This window comes from Homo sapiens, chromosome 1, assembly GCF_000001405.40.
Source record: "Homo sapiens chromosome 1, GRCh38.p14 Primary Assembly".
NCBI classification, from domain to species: domain Eukaryota; kingdom Metazoa; phylum Chordata; class Mammalia; order Primates; family Hominidae; genus Homo; species Homo sapiens.
Window position 1 is genome coordinate 97,184,648 of NC_000001.11, and position 21,942 is coordinate 97,206,589.

Sequence of the window (21,942 nt, forward strand, 5' to 3'; positions counted from 1 at the left end):
GTAAATGACATTTTAAAATTTTAATTTCCAGTTCATTGTTCCAATTGTTCATGTAGAAACAGAACTATTATTGTACATTGTTTTTGTATTATGAAACTTTGTTAAATTCACTTATTATTTTAATAGTGTATTTATAGGTTCTTTAGGATTTTCTATGCACACAATCTTACCATCTGCAAATAAAGACAGTGCAAGCCCATTTTTTTCCAATGTAAATATCATTTATTTATTTTTATGACCTTATTGCGCTGGTTAGGACTTCCAGTACAATATTGAATAGAAGTAGAAAGAATGGACATTCTTGCCCAGCTCTTGATCTTAAGAGAAAATAATTTATCCTTTCAACATTAAGTATGATACTAGGTATAGGATTTTTGTAGACGTTTCCTTCTATTAATGAATTGCTGAAGGCCATTATTATGATTGGATGTTGGATTTTGTCAAATGCTTTTGCTGATCTAAGGACTTATAACTAGAATGATTAAGAACTCCAAGAAATCAATTAAAAAATTAAAAAATGGACAAAATATTTGAATAGACAGTTCACAGAGTAAGATACATGGAAGGCCAATAAGAACATAAAGAAGAGTTAACATCTTCTTATTAGGGAGAAGAAAATTAAAATCACAATGAGATATCAACACATATGTACTAGAATAGCTGAAACTAAAAAGACTGAGAATATCAAAAGGTGGCTGGAACATAGAAGAACCAAACACCCACCCACAGCTGGTAGGACTGTGAAAGAGTAAAGCCACTTTGGAACTCTGTTTGGAAGTTTCTTGTAAAACTTATGCATCCACCTTATGACTGAGAAATTATACTTCTATGTACTAGCCAAGAGAAATGAAAACATGTTCACAAAAGGAGTTATGCAAGTATGTTTATAGCAAAAATATTTATAACACCAAAAAAGTGAAAACAGCCTAAATACAACTTAGAGTAAATAAATTGTGGTATTTTAATAAAATATAGTATTATTTACCAACAAAAATGAACTAATACCTACAATAATATGAAAAAATCTCTGTAATATTATAGTGAGTGAAAGTTGCAACACATACAAAAATACATATTCTGTAGAATTCCATTTATGTGAATGCTAAAAAACATGAACAAACTAATCTATGGTGGCAGGTGCTAGATGGTGTTTGCTTCTGGTGGTGGTAAAGGAAGATGTAATGGCTGGAAAAGTGCACAAGGCAGCTTCTAAGGTGTTGGCAATGTTGCATGCTTTGGCAGAGGTGAGGATTTCACGGATATATGTGTTTGTCACAACTTGTCAAATGGTTCATTTAAGACCTCTGTATTTTTCCTCCAAGTAATTTATATTTCAATAAGGGAAAATAAGTGGCATAGAAGATACAAAACTTTTAAAGTTGTAAATAGGAAATTATAGTATCCTCTTTTGAAACTGTCATTATGCTTTTGGTAAGGGTCTTGCTGTTGACATTTACACATTTCTTTGGACACTGCTTTATTCTCTGTGTTGAATAACTTTCCAGAAAGGAAAAAAATAGATAATTAGACATCTACATATAATATTACCACAACCAAATAGCAATAGTTTTATGAAATTGTGTTATTTCAGTTTTTTTTATTAGTATAAAATTAAGGGGTACAAGTGCAGTTTTGTTACATGGATATATTGCATAGTGGTGAAGTTTGAGCTTTTAGTGTAACCATCACACGAGTAATGTACATTGTACCCGTTAAGCAATTCCTCATCCCATATCCTGCTTCTACCCAATTCCTCATCCTACACCCTGCTTCTACCCTCCCACCGTTTTGAGACTCCAATGACTATTATTCCACACTCTATGTGCATGTGTACACATTAATTAACTTCCACTCACAAGTGGGAACATGCAGTATTTGACTTTCTTTTTCTGAGTTGTTTCACTTAAAATAATGGCCTCCAGAGGGCACAGTGGCTCATGCTTGTAAGCCCAGAACTCTGGGAGGCTGAGGTGGGTGGATCACTTGAGGTGAGGAGTTCGAGAACAGCCTGGACAACATGGAGGAACGCTGTCTCTACTAAAAATACAAAAATTAGCTGGGCGTGGTGGCAGACGCCTGTAATCCCAGCTACTGGGGAGGCTCAGCCATGAGAATCGCTTGAATCTGAGAGGCAGGGTTGCAGTGAGCCGAGAACGTGCCACTGCACTCCAGCCTGGGTGACAGAGCAAGACTGTGTCTCAAATAAATAAATAAAAATAAATTAAAAAAATAAAAAAGAAAATGGCTTCCAGATCCATCGATGTTGCTATAAAATACATGATTTCATTCTTTTTTTATGGCTGAATAGTATTCTACATTTTCTTTATTATCTGTCAAAGTACATTTAGCTTTATTCCATATCTTTGCTATCGTGAATAGTGCTGCCATAAACATATGAATGTATTTTTTTGATGTAATGATGTCTTTTCCTTTGGATATAAACCCAATAGTAGGATTGCTGAGGTGAATGGTAGTTTTATTTTCAGTTCTCTGAGAAATCTCTATACTCTTTTCCACAGGGTTTGAACTATTTACATTCCCACCAAAAATGTATAAGCATTCCCTTTTTTTTCCCACATCCTCACCTACATCTGTTATTTTTTGACTTTTTAGTAAGAGCCATTCTGACTGGTATAAGATAATATCTCATTGTGGTTTTAATTTACATTTCTCTGATGATTAGTGATGTTGAACAGTTTTTTATATGCTTGATGGGGTTTGTCTTCTTTTGAAAAATGTCTGTTCACGTCCTTTGCGTACTTTTTAATAGGGGTTACTTGTTTGTTGTTGTTGTTGAGTTGTTTGAGTTCTTTGTAAATTCTGGGTGACAGTCCCTGTTGGATACGTAGTTTGAATATATTTTCTCCTATTCTGTAGGCCTTCTGTTATCTCGATTATTTCATTTGCTGTGCAGAAGCTTTTTATTTTAAGTCCCATTTGTCTATTTTTGGTTTTGTTGCATTTGTTTTTGAGGTCTTTGTCATAATTATTTTTGCCTAGACTCATGTCCAGAAGAGTTTTCCTTAGATTTTTTTCTAGTACTTTTATAGTTTCAGATCTTACATTTAAGTCTTTGATGGGTTTTGAGGGGATTTTTAAATATGGTTAGAGGTAGAAGTATAATTCAATTTTTATGCATATGGCAATCCAATCATCCCAGCACTATTTATTGAAAAAGGTGTCCTTGTCCTAGTGTATACTTTTTGTCAACTTTGTCAAAGGTCAGTTGACTGTAGATATGTGGCTTTCTTTCTGGGTTCTTTATTCTGTTCCATTGATCCATGTGTCTATTTTTGTACCAGTACCATGCTGTTTTTATTACCACAGCCTAATTGTATAATTTGAGGTCAGGTAATGTGATGACTCCAGCTTTGAACTTTTTGTCAAATTTGCTTTGGCTATTTGGACTCTTTTTTGGTTGCATATGAATTTTAGAATTGTTTTATCAATAACTGAGAATGATGTATCTGGTCATATGGATACAATTTTGGTTTCTATTATCAAAACAAATCCTTGTTTTCAGAGTTGCTGTACAACCACCATGACAGAATTTCTGATTTTATCCTAATGAGAGCCTTTTAATGAGCACAGATTATGTTCATTTATTAATATCACCAATATGTATTTCATCATTTTTGAAACCTACTGAAAGTACAGTAATTTGGCAGGTTTATTGTTTTCTTCTAAAATGACTGCTGCTGTTCTTAAAAGGATCTAGCTGGAATTTTAATTATACATTGACTTTCTTTTTTCCTCCTAAATAAGGACACAACAGATAATTCGTGCAATTTAATTCTATAAACATGTAGCATTGTGCTAGGTGCTTGCAAACTCCAGTATGAATAAGATATTATCTTTCCTTCAAAATGCTTGTAATGACCTGCAGCACTGGACAAGAAGATATACAATTAAAGAAAATGCAGTACTTGCAATACTAGTTGTAGGAACCATGGGCTGTAATAAAATAAAAAGGAGTGATTTGACTTTCTTGGAGGCCAAGGAAGAGGGTCATAGACAGACTCACAAAAGAAGTGACATTTAAGATAGATTCTAAAAATATATTAATGATTGATCAGTATGTTCAATTCAGCTACCATGCCATTACTCCTACATGGTAGACATTGCATTAGGCACTGGCACACAGTCTGTGTTCTAGGCCGTCAAGAAGCTTATAATCTAGGCATATTTTGCCAAGTCAAGAAGGCATAAAGGTTGCTCACCTGTCTATCTCACTCCTTCTATTCTGGCTTTTTCCATGTTATTTTTACCAAACTCAATTCACACATAAAAAGGAACTTTAAGTTCAAAGGTTATTTCTTTACATATTCTTTTCTTTTCTGATGTAATGGAAAAAGTAATGGCTTGGTAAGTCAAGTGATTACTAATTCTTAATGTTACCAATAAGCTTTTTTCTTTCAACATTCATTTAGTCATCAGTTCACTTCTTCAGTCAACATTTATTAAGGCATTACCATGTTCAGTGCATGTCTAGAGAACTTAGATACAAAGATGGGTAAGAAAAGTGAGGTTATTTTCTAGTAAAGGAAGCAGACTTACAAAAATACAACTGCGATGTGATACTGGTTACAGCCAAGGTTCAAAAAGGAAGGAGACATTAATTCTATAGCAAAGGTCAGGGAATAGCTCAAAAAGTGATGCTTGAGAACTGGAAGGCCATTCCAGATGTCGGGAACAGCATGTGGAAATGCATGCAGATCCCAAGTGATCATTAGTTTTTGGCCTCTACTGTTTTTCTTTCATGACTGGTATTTAGGAGTCCTGTTCTCATCCCAAGCACCAAAAAGTGAAGACATTTTCTTTCATGCTTTTCCAGTTGCAAAATTTGTTGTTCAAATATCGGACTGTCCAATTTCTTTCATGTTTCTTAACGAAGAATGTCAACATAACTCTTATTTCCCATAATTAAAAGTGCCAAATAGTAATGTTTTCTTTTCTGAAATCACTAAAATATATACATTGCCTCCAACTCTATAGATGAATTTCTGGATGAAGTTATATTTGCAATTATATTTTCATTTTGGTAATCTTCACAAGCCCATAGTTAAAACCTTTGGAGCCAGATGTATGGATTTAGAAATATCTTTTGGATTTTAGAAATGTAAAATGGTACATACACCTAATTTTAATAAACACTCCCTCTCCAGCCCCAGCAAGGTGTGGGGTAGCAACCTGGAATCAAACACGTTAATCTGATGTTCTCTGAGAGGAATAAAGATTATAGCAAGTCTCACATCAGTTCAGGCCAGGTTTTCTGCTGAATGAATTATGTAAAACCATTTGGTTTCAGTATGTTTTGGATTTCAGAATTGTTAATGAGGGATTATGGAACTGTATTGTAATTATTTTCATTGTACAGTTTTATAAAAAGGTTTACAGAGATTAAGTAACTTGCCCAAGTTGTCTAGCTAACAAGGAAGCTTCACATAAATCCAGCAGTCTTACTATTTGCTAATAACTGCTGTCCTACATGCAGTTTCTTCATTGGGTATTTCCAACCTCTGGCCATTTGGAACCTAATGTGATGCTTCTCTGGCATTCCTCTCCTGCCTCTTTTATTTCACTTCTTTTTCAGCTCAAAATTATTTATTGTTTACTTTCTCCATCAAGAGAAGCTTGTGTTCTGCTCATTGCTGACTTCTCAATCTCTCACTGTTCTATTGCTATTCTCTTTTTTGTCCCTTTTGGCAATGCAGATTTTTGGATCCCTCCATGAGAATTATGATGTTAAAATGCAGATTCTCAACACACCTCTTACCCACTGACTCAGGATCAATGCTAGTGGGGCCTGGGAACCTACATTTCTCACAAGCATGCTGCATGGTTTTTAAGCACCAAGAGTTTGACATCAACAGCTCTGTGTTGTGCCAAAGCTGATGACTGTTCTTCTCAGGAATTTGCTCTTCTTGCAGGCACAGATTTTAATGGCTTGCACAGTAAGTGTACTAACACCCAACTACCTGCCCTTCAACAGCCACCTGAAGAAATGCTGGTTAGGCAGTTTGATCAGTTAATAAGTAAGGTAAGCATAAGGAAAGTATATTAATATGCTAATTACTTGAAAGATAACATGACATACTTGGCCAAATCCTTGTTTCCATAGCCCAAGTCTCATTTTCTCTCCATTGTCAAACACTGCACTGTAATGGGTTTCTTCTAAATATCTATTCTGGTTTATTCTAGCCTGACCTATGAGTGAATATCAGAGTAGCCATTGTACTTTCCAAACAAAATTTTCCTGTGTAAAGAAGCCAGATACTTCTAGAGTGTCTTTCTACAAAGGGTCTACATTTTCTCTCATCTTCCTATAGTATGCGGACACTGTGAGGACCAGCATACTATTCTTTGGCTAATGATAGGACAATGTGAGTTATATGCAAAGACACACACACACATACACACACATACACACGTACATACAAACACACACACACACAAAAGCAGCAGCAACATTAAGAAAGAATGATTAGTTTGCTGAGAATGATGCACATGTACCCTAGAACTTAAAGTATAATAAAAAATATAAACATAATAAAAAGAAAAATAAAAAAATTATAGGACCAAAAAAAAGAACGATTAGGAAATCACCTGTACCCTAGATCCAGAGTACTTTGATTCACTACTGGGGATATAAATCTAAAGGGATAATCACCTATTGTTTTAGTCATGTCAGCCTGCACAGGAGAATCCAGAAGCACAAATCTATTACCAGACCATCTGCTTATTCCTCAAGTTAGTGTTGAGAAATGAATCACTAATATAATCACATAGAAAAATCTTCCTTTTTTTAAACGAATGATAATGCTGAAAATTACACTTACGATTTTGATGAAAGCTGAGCTTAACAAAATAAAGTCTGAATCTTGATTCAAACTATTACCAAATCAGTTTCCATTTATGTCATTGACACAAGTTGTCTTCATCATTACCCATCTTTTATTTGAATATGTAAGTTTTGAAACGAGTGTGAAAATCCTTTAAAGACAAAACATGACAGTGCAATGCAGCTACTTCCATTTCCGCTCACATGGCAACCACCCAAATTTGAGACAATGATTTTATAGATGGTCATAAACTATCATGTCAGAGACAATTTCCTTGAGATATTTACATCGAATGATTGTAAAGTCATTTGTGAATTTTTTTTAGTTATAAGCAACCTTAGGATATTGATAGTCATTGATAAAGGCAAGAACACTCACTGTCTAAATACTGCAGAGTCAGTTTATGATAATATGATTAGTTACACTAATAATGCTGCTTAGGCATTATCTTGCTAATTACAATATTATAAATATTAATGTCACAGTCTTTCTGTTTGATTGCCACTCATGGAGTCATTCATCATGACATTTTCCTGGAACCCACATTGTAAGATTTTATTTCTTTCCTCCTTTTCTTTTTTCATTACTGGACTTGCAACCATACACATTACTCTTGAAGAAGGGTTTTTTTTGGCTATCTATTAGGAGAGGGACAGTGATATTTTCTACTAAAACTAGCCAAATATAAGTCAATTATATGATGTTTCTCTTATTCTTTCTGAGTCCCTAACCCAGTCATCCAAGGCAGAGTACCCAGGGCTTTTGTTTTCCATTCTTTTTCATGTGACCTGCTTCAAGTTAAGATTCATTTGAATTATTAAATGCTTCCTTAAAGAATCTTTTTATACTGCCTCTCTTTTTTTTAAAGTTAATTATTGATGTAGTGACAAGCTGAAAAGACTAAGAATTATAATTTTTTCCTCCCCTCATTGAGGGCTCAAGAAATGTCTTCTGACAATGGTTATCTATTTAGAATAATACAAAGGAAATACAAAGGCAAAATGCTGAATGTTGTTTTAGCAGTGTTGCTAAAATCACTGTATTATAGAAAACGTAAATGTAGTGTATATTTCTTGGAAAATAGCAGTTAGTGAGAAAGCTGGGACCATAACCGTTTGAGACCGGGTTTAACCACACAGCAGAAGCAGTTACAAAAGATACTGATTAGATTTTAATTTTAAAAACTTCCTTATATTATTCAAGACTACAGTGATTTGATTGTCTTGAAAATAGAAAGGTAATGTTATAATTTCCAGAAAGCATAAAGAAATCTCCAGACTCCCACTGGGAAGAATGCCAGTCATCACCACAGTAAGCAAGAATTTGGAGGCACTTTACACTGCAAACATCGGTCTTTTCCTTTTATATAATCTTGTGTTGTATTGGTTTATAAAAAGGTAACTCACAGACCCATCATATGGCTGTAATCAAGTCTCCTTCAGAAAGAGTCCACTGAAGAAATCACATCCAGGAGGCACTGTGTTTCCTTTGTTAGTGAGAATGTGAGATGGTAAATAAGATCTGAAATAGAAACCAAGGCTGAGTTCTCAAGAATAACACAGGAGATTTAAGCACATACCTTGTCCATGAGTTCAGCTATACGTGGAACTGGTTTCCCTTTCTGGTGACTCACAGTAGCTGGACTCTGTCCATCCCAGTCTTGTAGTTCTTCAATGCTTTTCAGATAAAGCAGGGCTTTGAGGCCAGTGCAGTAGTCTTCGATCACAGTGAAATCCTGATTCTGAATGGCACTGCATACCTAGAAAAGACAGAGCAGTCAACCAAGTGTCAAACCAAGAGATAATTCTCCAAACAAATTCACTTTTCTTTGAGTCAACAAATATTTATTTTATGTGCCAGGCACTGTTTGAGGCATGATGGATCAGTAGCCGTCTGGAGATGGGGGTGGTGGGGAGGAATGGACTGCAAAGAACACAAGGAAATTTCCAGGGACAATGAACATTTTTCATAAACTTGCAATGGTAATGGTGTCACAGGTATATACATGTTCCAAAACTTATTAAGTTGTATAGTTTAAATAGCTACAGTTTATTATATGTCAGGCTTAAGGAGTCGAATTTGGCACAACATAATAAAGGACATTTAAATTCTCATTGTCACTCTATTGGGATGTGCTGCCTGCAGGCAGTTCTCACGTCTGAAAGTGGTCAAACTGAGGTTGGAGTGCTGTTTATTACGTTAACTCAACCATCACTTACCCCTGCCTCTGTCTCCCTCCTCATCTGCTATTGTTCTCCTTGTTGTCAACTATGATCCAGTTACCCAGGTCTTTCCTTTCTTCCTCAAAAAAAATGCCATAGTCTTTCTTTGCCTTAGGATCTTTTCACAAGACCTTCTCACTGGCTAGAAGGCCTTTCTTTTCCACACATGGCTAACTACCAACCATTCCTCAGGCTCATGGTAAATGTCCCTTCTTCAAGGAGGCTTCCAGGAGCCCAGAATAGGTTATGGCCTTCTTTTAATCAGACATTTTTAACTTCTAATTATTGCATTATTATTTAGTTGACAACTCACTTCCCAATTAGACCAAAGTTTCAGAAGGGAAGAACTGCATTTATTTTGGTCACTATATTATCTGCAGTGACTAGGACACTGTTTGTCTGTTAGTCTGCTCTCCACAAATATAAGATGAATGAATAATGATGATATGGTTTGGCTGTGTCCCCACACAAATCTCATCTTGAATTGTAGTTCCCATAATCCCCACGTGCAGTAGGAGGGACCTGGTGGGGGTAACTGAATCATGGGGATGGTTATCTCCATGCTGTTCTCGTGATGATGAGTGAGCTCTCACACAATCTGATGGTTTTATAAGGGGCTTTTCCCCTTTTCCTTTGCACTTCTCCTTCCTACCACCATGTGATGAAGGATATGCCTGCTTCCCCTTCTGCCATGATTGTAAGTTTCCCGAGGCCTCCCCCAGAAATGTTGAACTGTGAGTCAATCAAACCTCTTTCCTTTATAAATTACCCAGTCTCAGGTATATCTTTTTATTTATTTATTTATTTATTTATTTTTGGAGTCTCACCCTGTCACCAGGCTGGAGTGCAGCAGCGCGATCTCGGCTCACTGTGACCTCCACCTCCCGGGTTCAAGCAATTCTCCTGCCTCTGCCTCTCGAGTAGCTGGGACTACAGGGACACACCACCATGTCCAGCTAATTTTTGTATTTTTAGTAGGAACGGGGTTTCACCATGCTGGCTAGGATGGCCTCAATCTCTTGACTTTGTGATCCACCCGCCTCAGCCTCCCAAAGTGCTGGGATTACAGGCGTGACCCACTGTGCCCGGCCTCAGGTATATCTTTATTAGCAGCATGAGAATGGACTATTACAAAAGATTAAAAAGAAAAGAGAACTAAAATAAAAAATTCTGGAGTTAAGGAAGTTTGAATCAGAGAAATTAAAGTTCTTCCACTAAAAAAACCCTGGGGATTCTGTGAGTGTGGCTGGGATTTGAGTTAAAGCTTGAAGAATGTGGATTTAGATACTGCTTCTAGGTTGCTTATTTCCAAAGATATCCCTCCAATTTTGATATCACATGTAGACTCCAGAGAGTCATTTACAACTTCCTGTAGAACCTCTTCACCAACATGGCCCAACATTACATCAAATTCAAAATTTACAACATGAATTCAACATACTTCCCAATTTATATTTCAACTTCAAACAATGAAACAACCATTAAAACAAAACTGAGCAAAGAAAAACTCATTTCTATCCTGTTTTCCCAGATGTTGAATACCTAGTATATCAGGGTGTCTGGCAATGGCAGCCAACAAAGAAAAATCATGTCATGCATGAATGAAAAAGAAAATGAAGGAAATGCCTGAAAACAGAATAATAAGATTCTATTTCAAAGACTCTTAAAGCCTTTTGGGTCTTTGATTAAATACATTTTATTGTAAGCCTCGTGCCTAGCATGCTACCTGATACCTCATTGTTGCTAGGTTGGTTGAGAGAATTTATTGAAAACATACTAGGAGGTTCCAGAATGGGGAATGGGATAAGGAGAGAGAGAGAGAGAGAGAGAGAGAGAGAGAGAGAGAGACAGAACTCTCATATATATATATATATATATATATATGTGTGTGTGTGTATATATATGTATGTGTATATGTATGTGTATATATATATATATATATATATATATATATATATATATATATATATATATATATGCCTAGGAGTTCTCAGCAAGCAGTGGTAGTGATTCCATGATGTGTACCTAAAAAAATGCCAGGTGTGAAATTCTGGGAATGCTAGCACTTAAAAGGAAGGCTAAGGAAGATGATCGTGAGGGACACCGAGCAGAAGAGATCCAAGAGAGTTAAGTCAGGCGCTGCAGAAAGGTCAGGAATATCAGAGCTGGAAGCGATGACTGGATGTAACACTCGGCAATATACCGGATAACATTTGCCTTTATAGGAGAGATCTGCAATGGAGTAGATGCCGGTTTTTTTGGTAGGTTGAGGAATGGATGAGGGATGATGAACTAAAGATATGCAGCCAGGTCACATTTCTAAGAAGTTTGGCTCCTGTAAGAGGAAGAGGCGAGCTGGGGTTATAGGTTATAGGGTTTTGCATTTTGCTTTTTACTTTTATTTTTGAGACAGAGTCTTGCTCTGTCACCCAGGCTGGAGTGCAGTGGCACAATCATAGCTCAGTGTAGCCTCAACCTCCTGAGCTCAAGCAATCCTCTCACCTCAGCTTCCCAAGTAGCTAGGACTACAGGCACACACCACCATGCTTGGGTAATTGTTTTTGGTATTTATTTATTTATTTTTTTATTTATTCTTATAGAGATGAGGTTTTGCCATATTGCTCAAACTCCTGAGCTCAAGCAATCCGCCCACCTGGCCTCCCACAAATGCTGGGATTACAGGCATGGACCACCATGCTTGGCCTGCATTTTATTTTTTTAAAGAATGAAAATAATTATGTTTTAAGGAGATACAGTTATTTTACATTTCAGAATAGGACAGACTGATTTCTGTGTATGAGATTTCTGTCAAAATTGGCTGAATGATTATGCGATGAGAATAAAACAATGCAATATCTAACATGATGCGGGCTCTTCTTAGGGGCCAGGCACTTTGTTAGCACTTTTAAATATATTATCTTCTTTAGTCCTCAAGATAACCCTAAAAGATAGGTTTAATTTTCAGCCCCATTTTACAGGTGAGGAAAGTGAGTCTTAGGAAAGTTAAATGACTTGCTCCAGGCCCCATGGTTAGAAAGTGGTGGCACCAGAATTCCTGGCCATACAATAGAATATGACCTAGATATAGACATTAACAGAGGAAAAACTTTTAATATAACTACAAATACTTTCCTACAACTATTGCATGGACCAAATGCATACGTTTTTAAAAATTTAATCAAGTTATCTTCAACTGAAATATAGCTCTGGTTTTGAAAAAATCCACACTTTTAGACAAAAATTGTCAATGTTTTCAATTTACCTTCTTACTTGTACAGTATGAGTAAGAATAGTAACAAGCCAAAACCAAAAAGCAGAAACAAAAACCCCTTCATTTTCTATTCTGAAGTGCTGCATGTTAGTACAATGTAGAAAAGAGTATAGAATAACTACTAAATATGAACAAGAACATTTTCTAGGAAGCCCATTTACATCAGATTAAAAAAATCTGTTTCTCAGGAGGAACAATTTGAACATTAATTAGGCCTGTTATAACCTTCTTAGAGTTGGTGGTGTTTTTTTCTCACAACAATTATAAGGAACATCATTATCATTTCCTCCACAGGGGTATTTTTTTTCTTTTGACTATAAAAGTCAACTGATGCTTTACTTAATCCTCTTTGCTCACTCTGAGATTCTATTTTTTTGTAGTATATGCTTATGGGTATACTTTACTATAGTCTTAAAATAGTTCACCATGTGAACATAAGAAATCAGATTTTGAAAATCACATAATGTCATGTACTTTATGGGATTTTCATGATTATTGTAAAATCCTGCTGCTAAAATGAATCTAGAAATACACTGCAAGGGATGAACAGTAAAGTATAATCTAAATCATCCCTGATGTTTCCAGGAAGAAGATACAAAAGCTATGAGTTATCTCAATCCTCAAACATGGCACAATTTGTATACAGTAGACTCAGACAAGGAGTGGAGTGATCAGAATGTAGACTTGGGATCTTTTAACTGTAGAAGAACATGGTAGGTCCCAAGGCTAAGAAAACTTCCTCTTTCCCACCCACTTCTAGACTCTTTATCATACAGGGTTGGTGTTTCACATAATTGGGAGCTATACTGAGAATGTGAACTGAACACAAAACCTTAAGAGGAAGGAGAGACTACAAGATACTTACTGAGCAAGACTGGGATAGTGTGCAATGCTGGAAGCCCTGGAATCCACCATGAGACACGAGTGCTGGAGGGGACCACTTCAGATATACTTAATCATATGGCAAATGTCACACCACTTACGTACCTTTACAAAATGAGTAGTTTAATTTTTACTTCCAATAAGATTAAACCTACTAATTTTCCTGATAGAATTTTTGATAGTAGGAACTTTGCACATTGATATTTTCTTTTAAAATTTTGTTGCACATACAAATCAGGTGGGGATCTTTTTAAAATGCAGATTCTGGTTTTGTAGCTTTAGAGTGGGATCCTGGAGTGAGATCCTGCATTGGCCAAATTTTCGGGGGATGCTGCTGCTGCTGCTGGACCACACTTAGAACAGCAAAGTCTTAAGCACTGGCAGGGGTGAATCTCATCTCAACTGAAATGCTGACTGCAAAAAAAAATTTCTTCTAAACAAATAGGTTTCTTCTTAATTTTTACTATTAGATTATATCAACATTTTCCTAGCCTTTCAAAGAATGCACTACTTATAATAAGAAGTCATGTTTGAAGAAACAAGAATAATTTGCTGATTAAATACTAATAAGACTAAAAATAAAACTTAGGATGCAAGTGCACCATTGAGAACAGCTTTGCCCATGGATTTGATCTCAGGAAATGGAATTGCTTAGAAAGATGCCTTGTCCTTGCCTAACTTATATACTCCATTGAGGGCCTTATCGCTATCTCAAAGGTAAATCGTTCTTGTTAAAACTCCAAACATGTAGCTGCTATGCCTAAATGGGTGCATTTTATATGACATCTCTTAATTGTTTGTTTAACAGCTCTGATTAGGACTCTTAATAGCTGTTAACATGTTTGCTTAGTATAATTTGTAAGTTCTTTATGGTGAAGGCTGGTTTATCTTTCTTCACAGCAGGGCATCAGGTGCCATTATAAGGATCGTTGCCACCATTAATTATTTCTATATGTGTGAATATCCCTATAGTGAGCTATTTTAAAGAGAGGCCCCTAGATTCTCAGCAGGACCAGCCCTACACAGGAGCAGAGTAGGTGGTGGCCCCCGTGCAGCGTGATTTGACGTGTTCCATAAAGCACCAAATAGCCTCCTCCAGGGGTCTGACACAGTGCCCTGAATTTTTACTTTAGGTGCAGACGCATTTAATAGAGGCCGACCTGTGCAGAACAACTGTACAAATACCTGGATGGTAACAGAGGGTTGTGGGGAGCTATTCTTTTCTCATTATTTCTCATAAAATGAGATTAACTAGATTATCAGTAAATTACCTATTTATGGAGATTTACGTCTTCAAAATCTTCTTTACATACATTATTTCTTTCAGTACTCAAAGCTGACTTAGTCAGGAGAGGGAGTAATATTCTTACTTGTAAAATGGAAAGAGCTTGGACTTGAAGTCCTGTTTCTTAAAGTCAATCTTGTGGTTTCTATGCCATATTAAGTTAAGAGGCTGAGAGCATGCACACAGAAGTCAAGCAGAATAGAGTTCCAATTACATCTTAGCTGTGTAATCATGAGCATTTTTTTCACTTAAAAATGGAGATTAAATACTTAGCACATAGGAAACTAAAAGGCAACATACTTAAGTGCTTAAAATAGTAGCTTATACTCAGCTACATTGGCACCAAAATTAAATTTCATACTATGAATAAATCATTAGGGCATGAATTAGGCAGGATATAATTTTTTTAATGTAATACATTTTTGGTCAAATACTGCAGAGGAAAGGCATGGACCTTATTTTTATTTGCATTAAATAATGATCTCCAAAAAAAAAAAGCTTTGGTTTTGTTGTCAGAAGACTCAGGTCTGAGACCCAACTCTTGTCATCTGGCAGCTGTGTAACTAGGGCTAGTCATTTAGCTTGTTGATTCCCTTCTCCCTCCTTTACATCTGAAAAAGGAGGATGATAACATCTTATTGTTGTGAAGATTAAATTATACCATGAAGGTGGAAGTACTGTGGAAATTATAAAGCTTAGACAGAATGGTACTAAACCTCATAGGTATTGTAGAATTTCACGTAATCTAGAATTTCAAGTGCCTGGCAGAGGCCAAAATGGGAAGTTTTGCCTATTAAAAAAAAGCTCACTTCATCTGAAAAGTAAAATAAATTTACAAGGAAGCTATCAAATAAAATCTAAATTAGATTAAAAATATTTATCCCAGGTAAATAATTTGGCAGAGAAGAGTTCTACAAAAGCAGGAACACCCTGAGACTGGCACATGCTTTTGTGTAATCAAATAGCACATTTTTCAAATGCTATTTTAAAATATAACAAAGTTTAAAAATAGAGATCTTGATCTATTAAACACAACTCAGATAAACCCATGACCATAATTATCCCTTTTCATTTCTTATCATACAGGTGGATAAACTACACTTCAGGACTTAGAAGTATGTGCCTCCAGGTTATATGCAAGTAAAATATATGCTTACAATTTAAGTCTAAAGTTGTCTCAAATTTACTGTAAATTCATTAGTAAAAGTTCTATTGGAGAATTACTACATTTAAGCAAAAACGGAAATTCTTCTGCAATGGTTATCACATCACAAATTGCATTAATAACTGAGTTATGTATCTGGAAGAGGTTCAAGAAGCCTCCCATGAATGTGGTTCATATATGAAACACTGAATAAGAAGGGTTGTTCATCCAATTCTTAAAGCTTTCTCAGGAAAAAGAAGGTTATATTATCTCTTCTTACTAACCTATTTTGATAAGCACATATTTTGTTTAAACTATGCAAAACATCTGCAATATTTTATATAGCACTTTATAGTTTTCAAAGCATGCTGTCAAAAAGAAATATCTATACAATGATTTATAGTTTTCAAAGCATGGTGACAAACAAGATTAAAGGGAATTTAGACTTTTTTTCAGACCAGCTTCCTCATTTCAGAGATCAGGAGTCCAGACTGGCTAAATGATCTGTGCATGGTACACAGCTAGTTGGAGGCAGTGCTGGCAGACCCGCCTGGTTTGAAGCTCTTTCTGCTACAACACTGTCTGTCAATATCATCGTACAGCAGTTCTAAGAGAAAGACAGAGAAGGTGCTATGAATTGTTCAGTAAGTGAGGAAATTGAAACCAAACATTGAATGCAGTGCCCAAAATCAAGATTAGTAACTGGGAGGGCCAACAGTAAGACTCAGAATTTCTGACCTCTGCAGAGCTTTTTATCTTTTCTTTTTATTATTATTTCCATAAATTTCAAAGCCTTAAATGAGATGAAAGTCTTACATATATAAACAAGCATATATGTATAATTTTCATAAAAAGAAGCGAAGTGATTTCACATTTATTAGTTAATTATTATGACAGAAATCCACAGATTTTTAACATTTAAGGTTTTAATATTTGGATGACCCACTTAAAATTTCTTACTTTAACTGGAAACTAAATTTCTCCTGTTTTCGGATGTTATGCAGTTTCTAATTCTATCTGTCCACACCTACTGATTAAAAAAATCAGATTTTCTGAAGGCATGGAATCAATAATTACTCACGGAATTGAGTTCTGACCAGTACTAACAAACAGATGTATAAAACTACATTGTACTTTAAAAATGGATGTACAATACATATAGATAAGGTAAGAATTCAGAATAACAATATCCGCCTATGAGCTTTTGGTACTACATAAACATGGCATTGCTTACTGGAATTCATGAATAAAACACCAAAATTATAATTTTATAAAAATATAGGTTAAAAGACAGCCCCTGGAGATACATAGTAAATAGGGAACTAGATGGGGATGTATTTGTATATTCACATAAAACCACAAATCTTAGTTGTTCTATCATATTAGTTTCTATCTGTTGGAGCTGTACAACATCAAAGTCATGATGTCCCTATATATTGCATTTAGCAGTAATGTAACGGACTACGTGAAGAAATCAAAGTGAGAGTTTCTAAGTAGTTTCCTGGCAATTGAGACAGCAGGCTCTCTCATCTGCTCTGTAACTGTGGCAGTGCATTGATTTAAACTCCTTCTGAGATCTCAAATGCTTTTATATTCTTAGGTCTCTCAAGCAGCTTTTTTTTTTTTTTTCCCAAAGTGATAAAATTCCAGCATTCAGCAGAATACCATCTTGTTTCCCCCAAAAGGAGAGGGCTTATTTCAGCTTTGCTACGAAACTGCACAGGATCACTAAGTAAAATAGCTGTCCAAATGTCATTCTACTAAGAAATCTGGCTTTGAGTTCAGTTGTCTATGTTCTGACCACAGCAAATAGGATTGGGAAAAAAAGAACAACAAACGAATAGCCCCGGAGATGTTGTTTTTCAAAAGTTCAGTTCAGAAAAATTGCCGAAATGGATAAGTAGTTCTGCTTATTAAATATTTTCAAAGTTGTTTTTAATTGCCACTCATTGATCAGTCCAAATGGTATAGGAGTCATTTATTTTGTAAATCATATATTTCTTCTCAGTACATTACTTATCCTCTGAAACGATAAATTCTCTGATAAATTTTAAGTATAAAAATTTCCCCCTTTTCCTCCAATTAGGAAGGAACTTTATGTAGCCTGAAAGTCTATTTTTCAGTGTAACTCTGTGGTCATTCTTTAATTAATTTCTTAACCCAAGATCAGCTAAAGACAGACTGAAGAGAATAATATGTTTTCAAGGTATATTATACTGAGATCCAAACCACATTTTGCCAGCCAGAATATAATCATCAATTCTCCAAGTATTTTCTCAAAGGCAGCATATGATGGGCCACCCACTCGACTACTATTCAGAAGAGCATTTGTGAGACTGATCTTCTCTGTTGCACTTTGTTGATGACACAGTTTCACTGAAGATGGCCTGCGCTGATTAGTCAAAGGGCTGTGCCCTGCAGGCGAGACTGCCCTGCCCCCTTCCTTGTATCTGTCCTTTACAAAGTGAGCTCTAACTGGACTCAGATCTCAATAATGACTGCAACCAAGAAATAATAATAAGAACCATACAGAGACACAGCACCTCTGTCTGCCTTTTATGTGACACTAGAGATAAAATGGGTGAGACAGGTACAACATGTAGGGCCAAAGAATGGTGATTACTGTTCTGTCTCTTCAAAGATATTGCTGTTGATGGCTCTGCTTCCCAACGGGCATAAATACAAGACTCAAAAGACTGAGGTAACAACTGGAGTCTTCTACACACCAGGATCCTATGCAGCCCATTCTTTGGTTAGGAACTGTGGCTGCAGTTTGAGGAAGCTTGGCCACTGCTCTTCAGAGGCAGTAGGATTTTTCTACTAACATCGTTTCTCACCATCAGGCTTTGGTGCTGCATCAGTTACCACAGCAATTTTCAATTACTCTGCAGTAACACAGGTGGTGGTGTAAGGGTTTGCATGTAGCATTGTGCATGCTCAGCACCTCTCATGATAAAAGTGGGGTAAGAAAAGGAAACTAAACATCCAAACAATAGCTGTCAGAAGACTCAAATCCTTAATTTTAGGCAATCTTTCTTTTTCAACAGAGTCAACACAGCTGGGAAAACTTGATTTATCATATCATTCACTAAAATACCAGATAGAGTTTGATCACAGAGGAGAAGTCATAATGCCTAGAGAGAAAAAGTTCAGGAAGGGGAATATCACACTCTGGGGACTGTTGTGGGGTGGGGGGAGGTGGGCGGGATAGCATTGGGAGATATACCTAATGCTAGATGACGAGTTAGTGGGTGCAGCGCACCAGCATGGCACATGTATACATATGTAACTAACCTGCACAAGCACATGTACCCTAAAACTTAAAGTATAATAAAAAAAATAAAAAAAATAATAAAGGATGAGTTCAGACCCCCCCCCCCCAAAAAAAAAAAAAGAGAAAAAGTCTATAGGGAAAATTAACGCATGGAATTTTTTTCTGAACTCTGAAGATGGATGAAAGTTATGTGGTCACTCAATAACTAAGCAGACATTCACATTCCAAAAAAAAAAAAAAAAAAAAAAAAAGAACAACTCACCTACAATGAGAAACATTTGTTAACATGAAAATAACATCTCAAATAGTCCTGACTACCTCTGAAAGCATTCACAATTCAGTAGTTGGTGTGATAGTTAATCTATAATTGATAAAAACACAAATTTGTGAGAGAGTACAACTTGGCTGTTATCAGTGAGTCAACAATTTTGACTGAGTTGCCAATATATTCTGGGACACAAAAGTTAAAGTTCAGTTGATTAAGAGTGAATAAACTATGTAAGAGTTAAGCGTTATAGGAAAAACAAAACAACCTTACCAATGTTGAAGTTAATATATGGTAAACACGGTGCATATTTATGGGAGGGCTAGAGAAGCAAAGCAATAAGGTTTGCATTTGTTAAAAGGAACTTTTAAAAATACTAAACTCATTTTTAATCCCTTTACTGTGTATATGGAAAAATAAAAGCTCACAAAGTTTGTGGTTTTGCAGAAAGACCAGGAAAATAAATTGTATGCTAGTTTTTTTTGGCTTTTTGTTTTAATGAAGGCCAAGAACCTAAAAGTAAAATGCCTGGTCTTCAGCTACAAAAGATGGATCTACTGGAACATGGTTACAGACAAACAAATGCAATGTCCAAAGAAGTAGTTTTATTTATGCCTTCTCACTAAAAGGGCACATATTTTATGATTTGTGACTCTGACAACCTGAAGAAAGATTACAAACACCAGTAAAAGTTCTAGGCTGAGGGTTTTAGGAGGATGCTTAGAGATGACCATATAATTTACCATCCAAACTGTGACACTTGAGAGTAAACAGGAAACTATTAGTGAAAATACCAGGACCAGCAGTATAAACTGGGATTGTCCTGTACCACTAGGATCTGTGATTCCCTTACTCAGAGGGTTTTTTTCATTCCTGTCTTTATATTGGAGGGAGACTTTCACTTGTCCCTGTGGAATGCATTCCAAAATGCTCCGTCACTTTTGGTTTAGTTTAACATTCTGGTCTTTCAGATACTTATGCAGGCCTCAGAGCATTAACATTGGATCTAATTCACCAGGCTTTTATTACTTAGGTGGGGATTTGGAATCCTGGAGACCTGACTTGATCCAATAAGAGGACCCGACTTGATCCTGTTATTGACCCAGATAATCCTAGATTTAAAGGGTCCCTTTTGGCCTCCAACTTTAAAAAAAATAATTAATAGACTTTGCTTTTTAGTACACTTTTAGATTTACAGAATAATTGGGCAGATAGTACATAGAGTTTCATACGCCCACACCACCCCCAAACTCGGCACCTTCCCCATTATTAATATCTTGCATTAGATGGTACATCTGTTACAGTTAAAGCACCAATATTGATATGCTATTATTAAAATTCATAGTTTATATTAAGATTCACTCTTTGCATTGTACCTTTCTATGGTTTTTGACAAATGTATAATGACATGTATTCATCATTAGAGTTTTATACAGAATAGCTTCACTGCCCTAAAAATCTACTATGCTGTACGTATTCATCCCCCTCACCCTCACCTCCCCCATCCCCTGGCAACCACTGATCTTTTTTACTGTCTCCATAGTTTTGCCTTTTCCAATATGTCGTATAATTGAAATCACATATATGTAGCTTTTTCAGATTGACTTATTTCACTTAGCAGTATGCATTTAAGGTTGCTCCAGGTTGTTCTGTAGCAACAGAATCCATTCACCTATTGAAAAATTATCACAGTTTTTTTCAACTTTAGTAAGAACTTCATATATTTTAAAATATAAAACCATTTTTCTATATAGCCAAATAATATTTTAACAGTTAATAAAATAAATAATTCCTTAGTGTAATCTGATATCCATAGTACAATTTCCATAATATTTTTATAGCTAGTTTATCCAAGCCTAGGTTCAATCCAGGACTGCATGTTGCATCCAGTTGCTCTGTCCTTCAAGGTTCCTTTTATCTGGCACAGCCTCTTTTTCATTGCACCAGCCTGTTGTAGAAACCCTACTGCTGGAGTCTGGCTGCTTTGCCACAGTGTTCTTTACATTTCTTTCCTCTAACCCTTGCATCTCCTGGAAACTTGTACTTGTCTTGAATCTTGTTGAACTCTCACACAATGTGGTTCACTAGAATTGGGTCCTCACAGGGCATCTCCAGCGCTTAATGGGAATGGGGTGGCAGGGAATGAATGGTGGACATTGCCTGTAATCATGGGCTTGCTCTGCTGTCCCACTGGACTTCAGTTTAACCCTTTTATGATAAAAGATACAACTCAGAAACAGCCAAACAGAAAAGATGCATAGGGCAAGGTATGAGGGAGGGGTACGGAGCTTCCATGTCTTCTCCAGACACTCCTCCAAGGGTCTTTCAGCCTAAAAAAAAAACTCAAAGGGGACAGGGGAGGCAAGGAGCTACTCAAAATCCATATCCTTTAAGGGTGGAAAAGTTTGGTGTATTTTAACAAACTTAATATTCTGTCCTTTTGTAACTTATTTCTTTATGCTTTACCCAAATTCCCTTATGATTACAGCATTTTGAAATTTACTTAGGTTACTTATTATGTTTTAAACCCTGTTCAAAATATGTCTACATGTAGCACCACATTGAAACTCACAATAGCACCTTGGGTAAGTATTATTATTTTCTTCAGTTAGCAGATGGGTAAATATGGGGTCAGAAATTACAGGCCTTGATTAAGATCACACAGCTACTAAATGGCAGAACAAAGATTAAAATTCTGGCTCAGTTTGCCCACAGGATCCTTTCTTGTAACCACAGTGCAGTCCTGCTTTCTGTTCT

The 21,942-nt window shown here is 36.0% G+C and overlaps 1 protein-coding gene and 1 long non-coding RNA gene across 7 annotated transcripts in view; one reads left to right on the top strand and one right to left on the bottom strand.

The window, feature by feature from the left end:
- Positions 1-21,942, bottom strand: part of DPYD (dihydropyrimidine dehydrogenase) — an 843,317-nt gene that overhangs the window by 106,905 nt on the left and 714,470 nt on the right. For 5 of the 6 annotated variants that reach the window (XM_047448077.1, XM_017000507.2, XM_005270562.3 and 2 more), the window contains one exon: positions 8,422-8,601. In XM_047448077.1, coding sequence (XP_047304033.1) covers positions 8,422-8,601 — 180 coding nt within the window. Of the gene's footprint in view, positions 1-7,990; positions 8,329-8,421; positions 8,602-21,942 lie in introns of those variants that run through there. The other variant, XM_006710397.4, reaches the window with a different exon arrangement.
- DPYD-AS1 (DPYD antisense RNA 1) overlaps positions 1-21,942 on the top strand; it is a 227,033-nt gene that overhangs the window by 88,725 nt on the left and 116,366 nt on the right. The window lies entirely within an intron of this gene.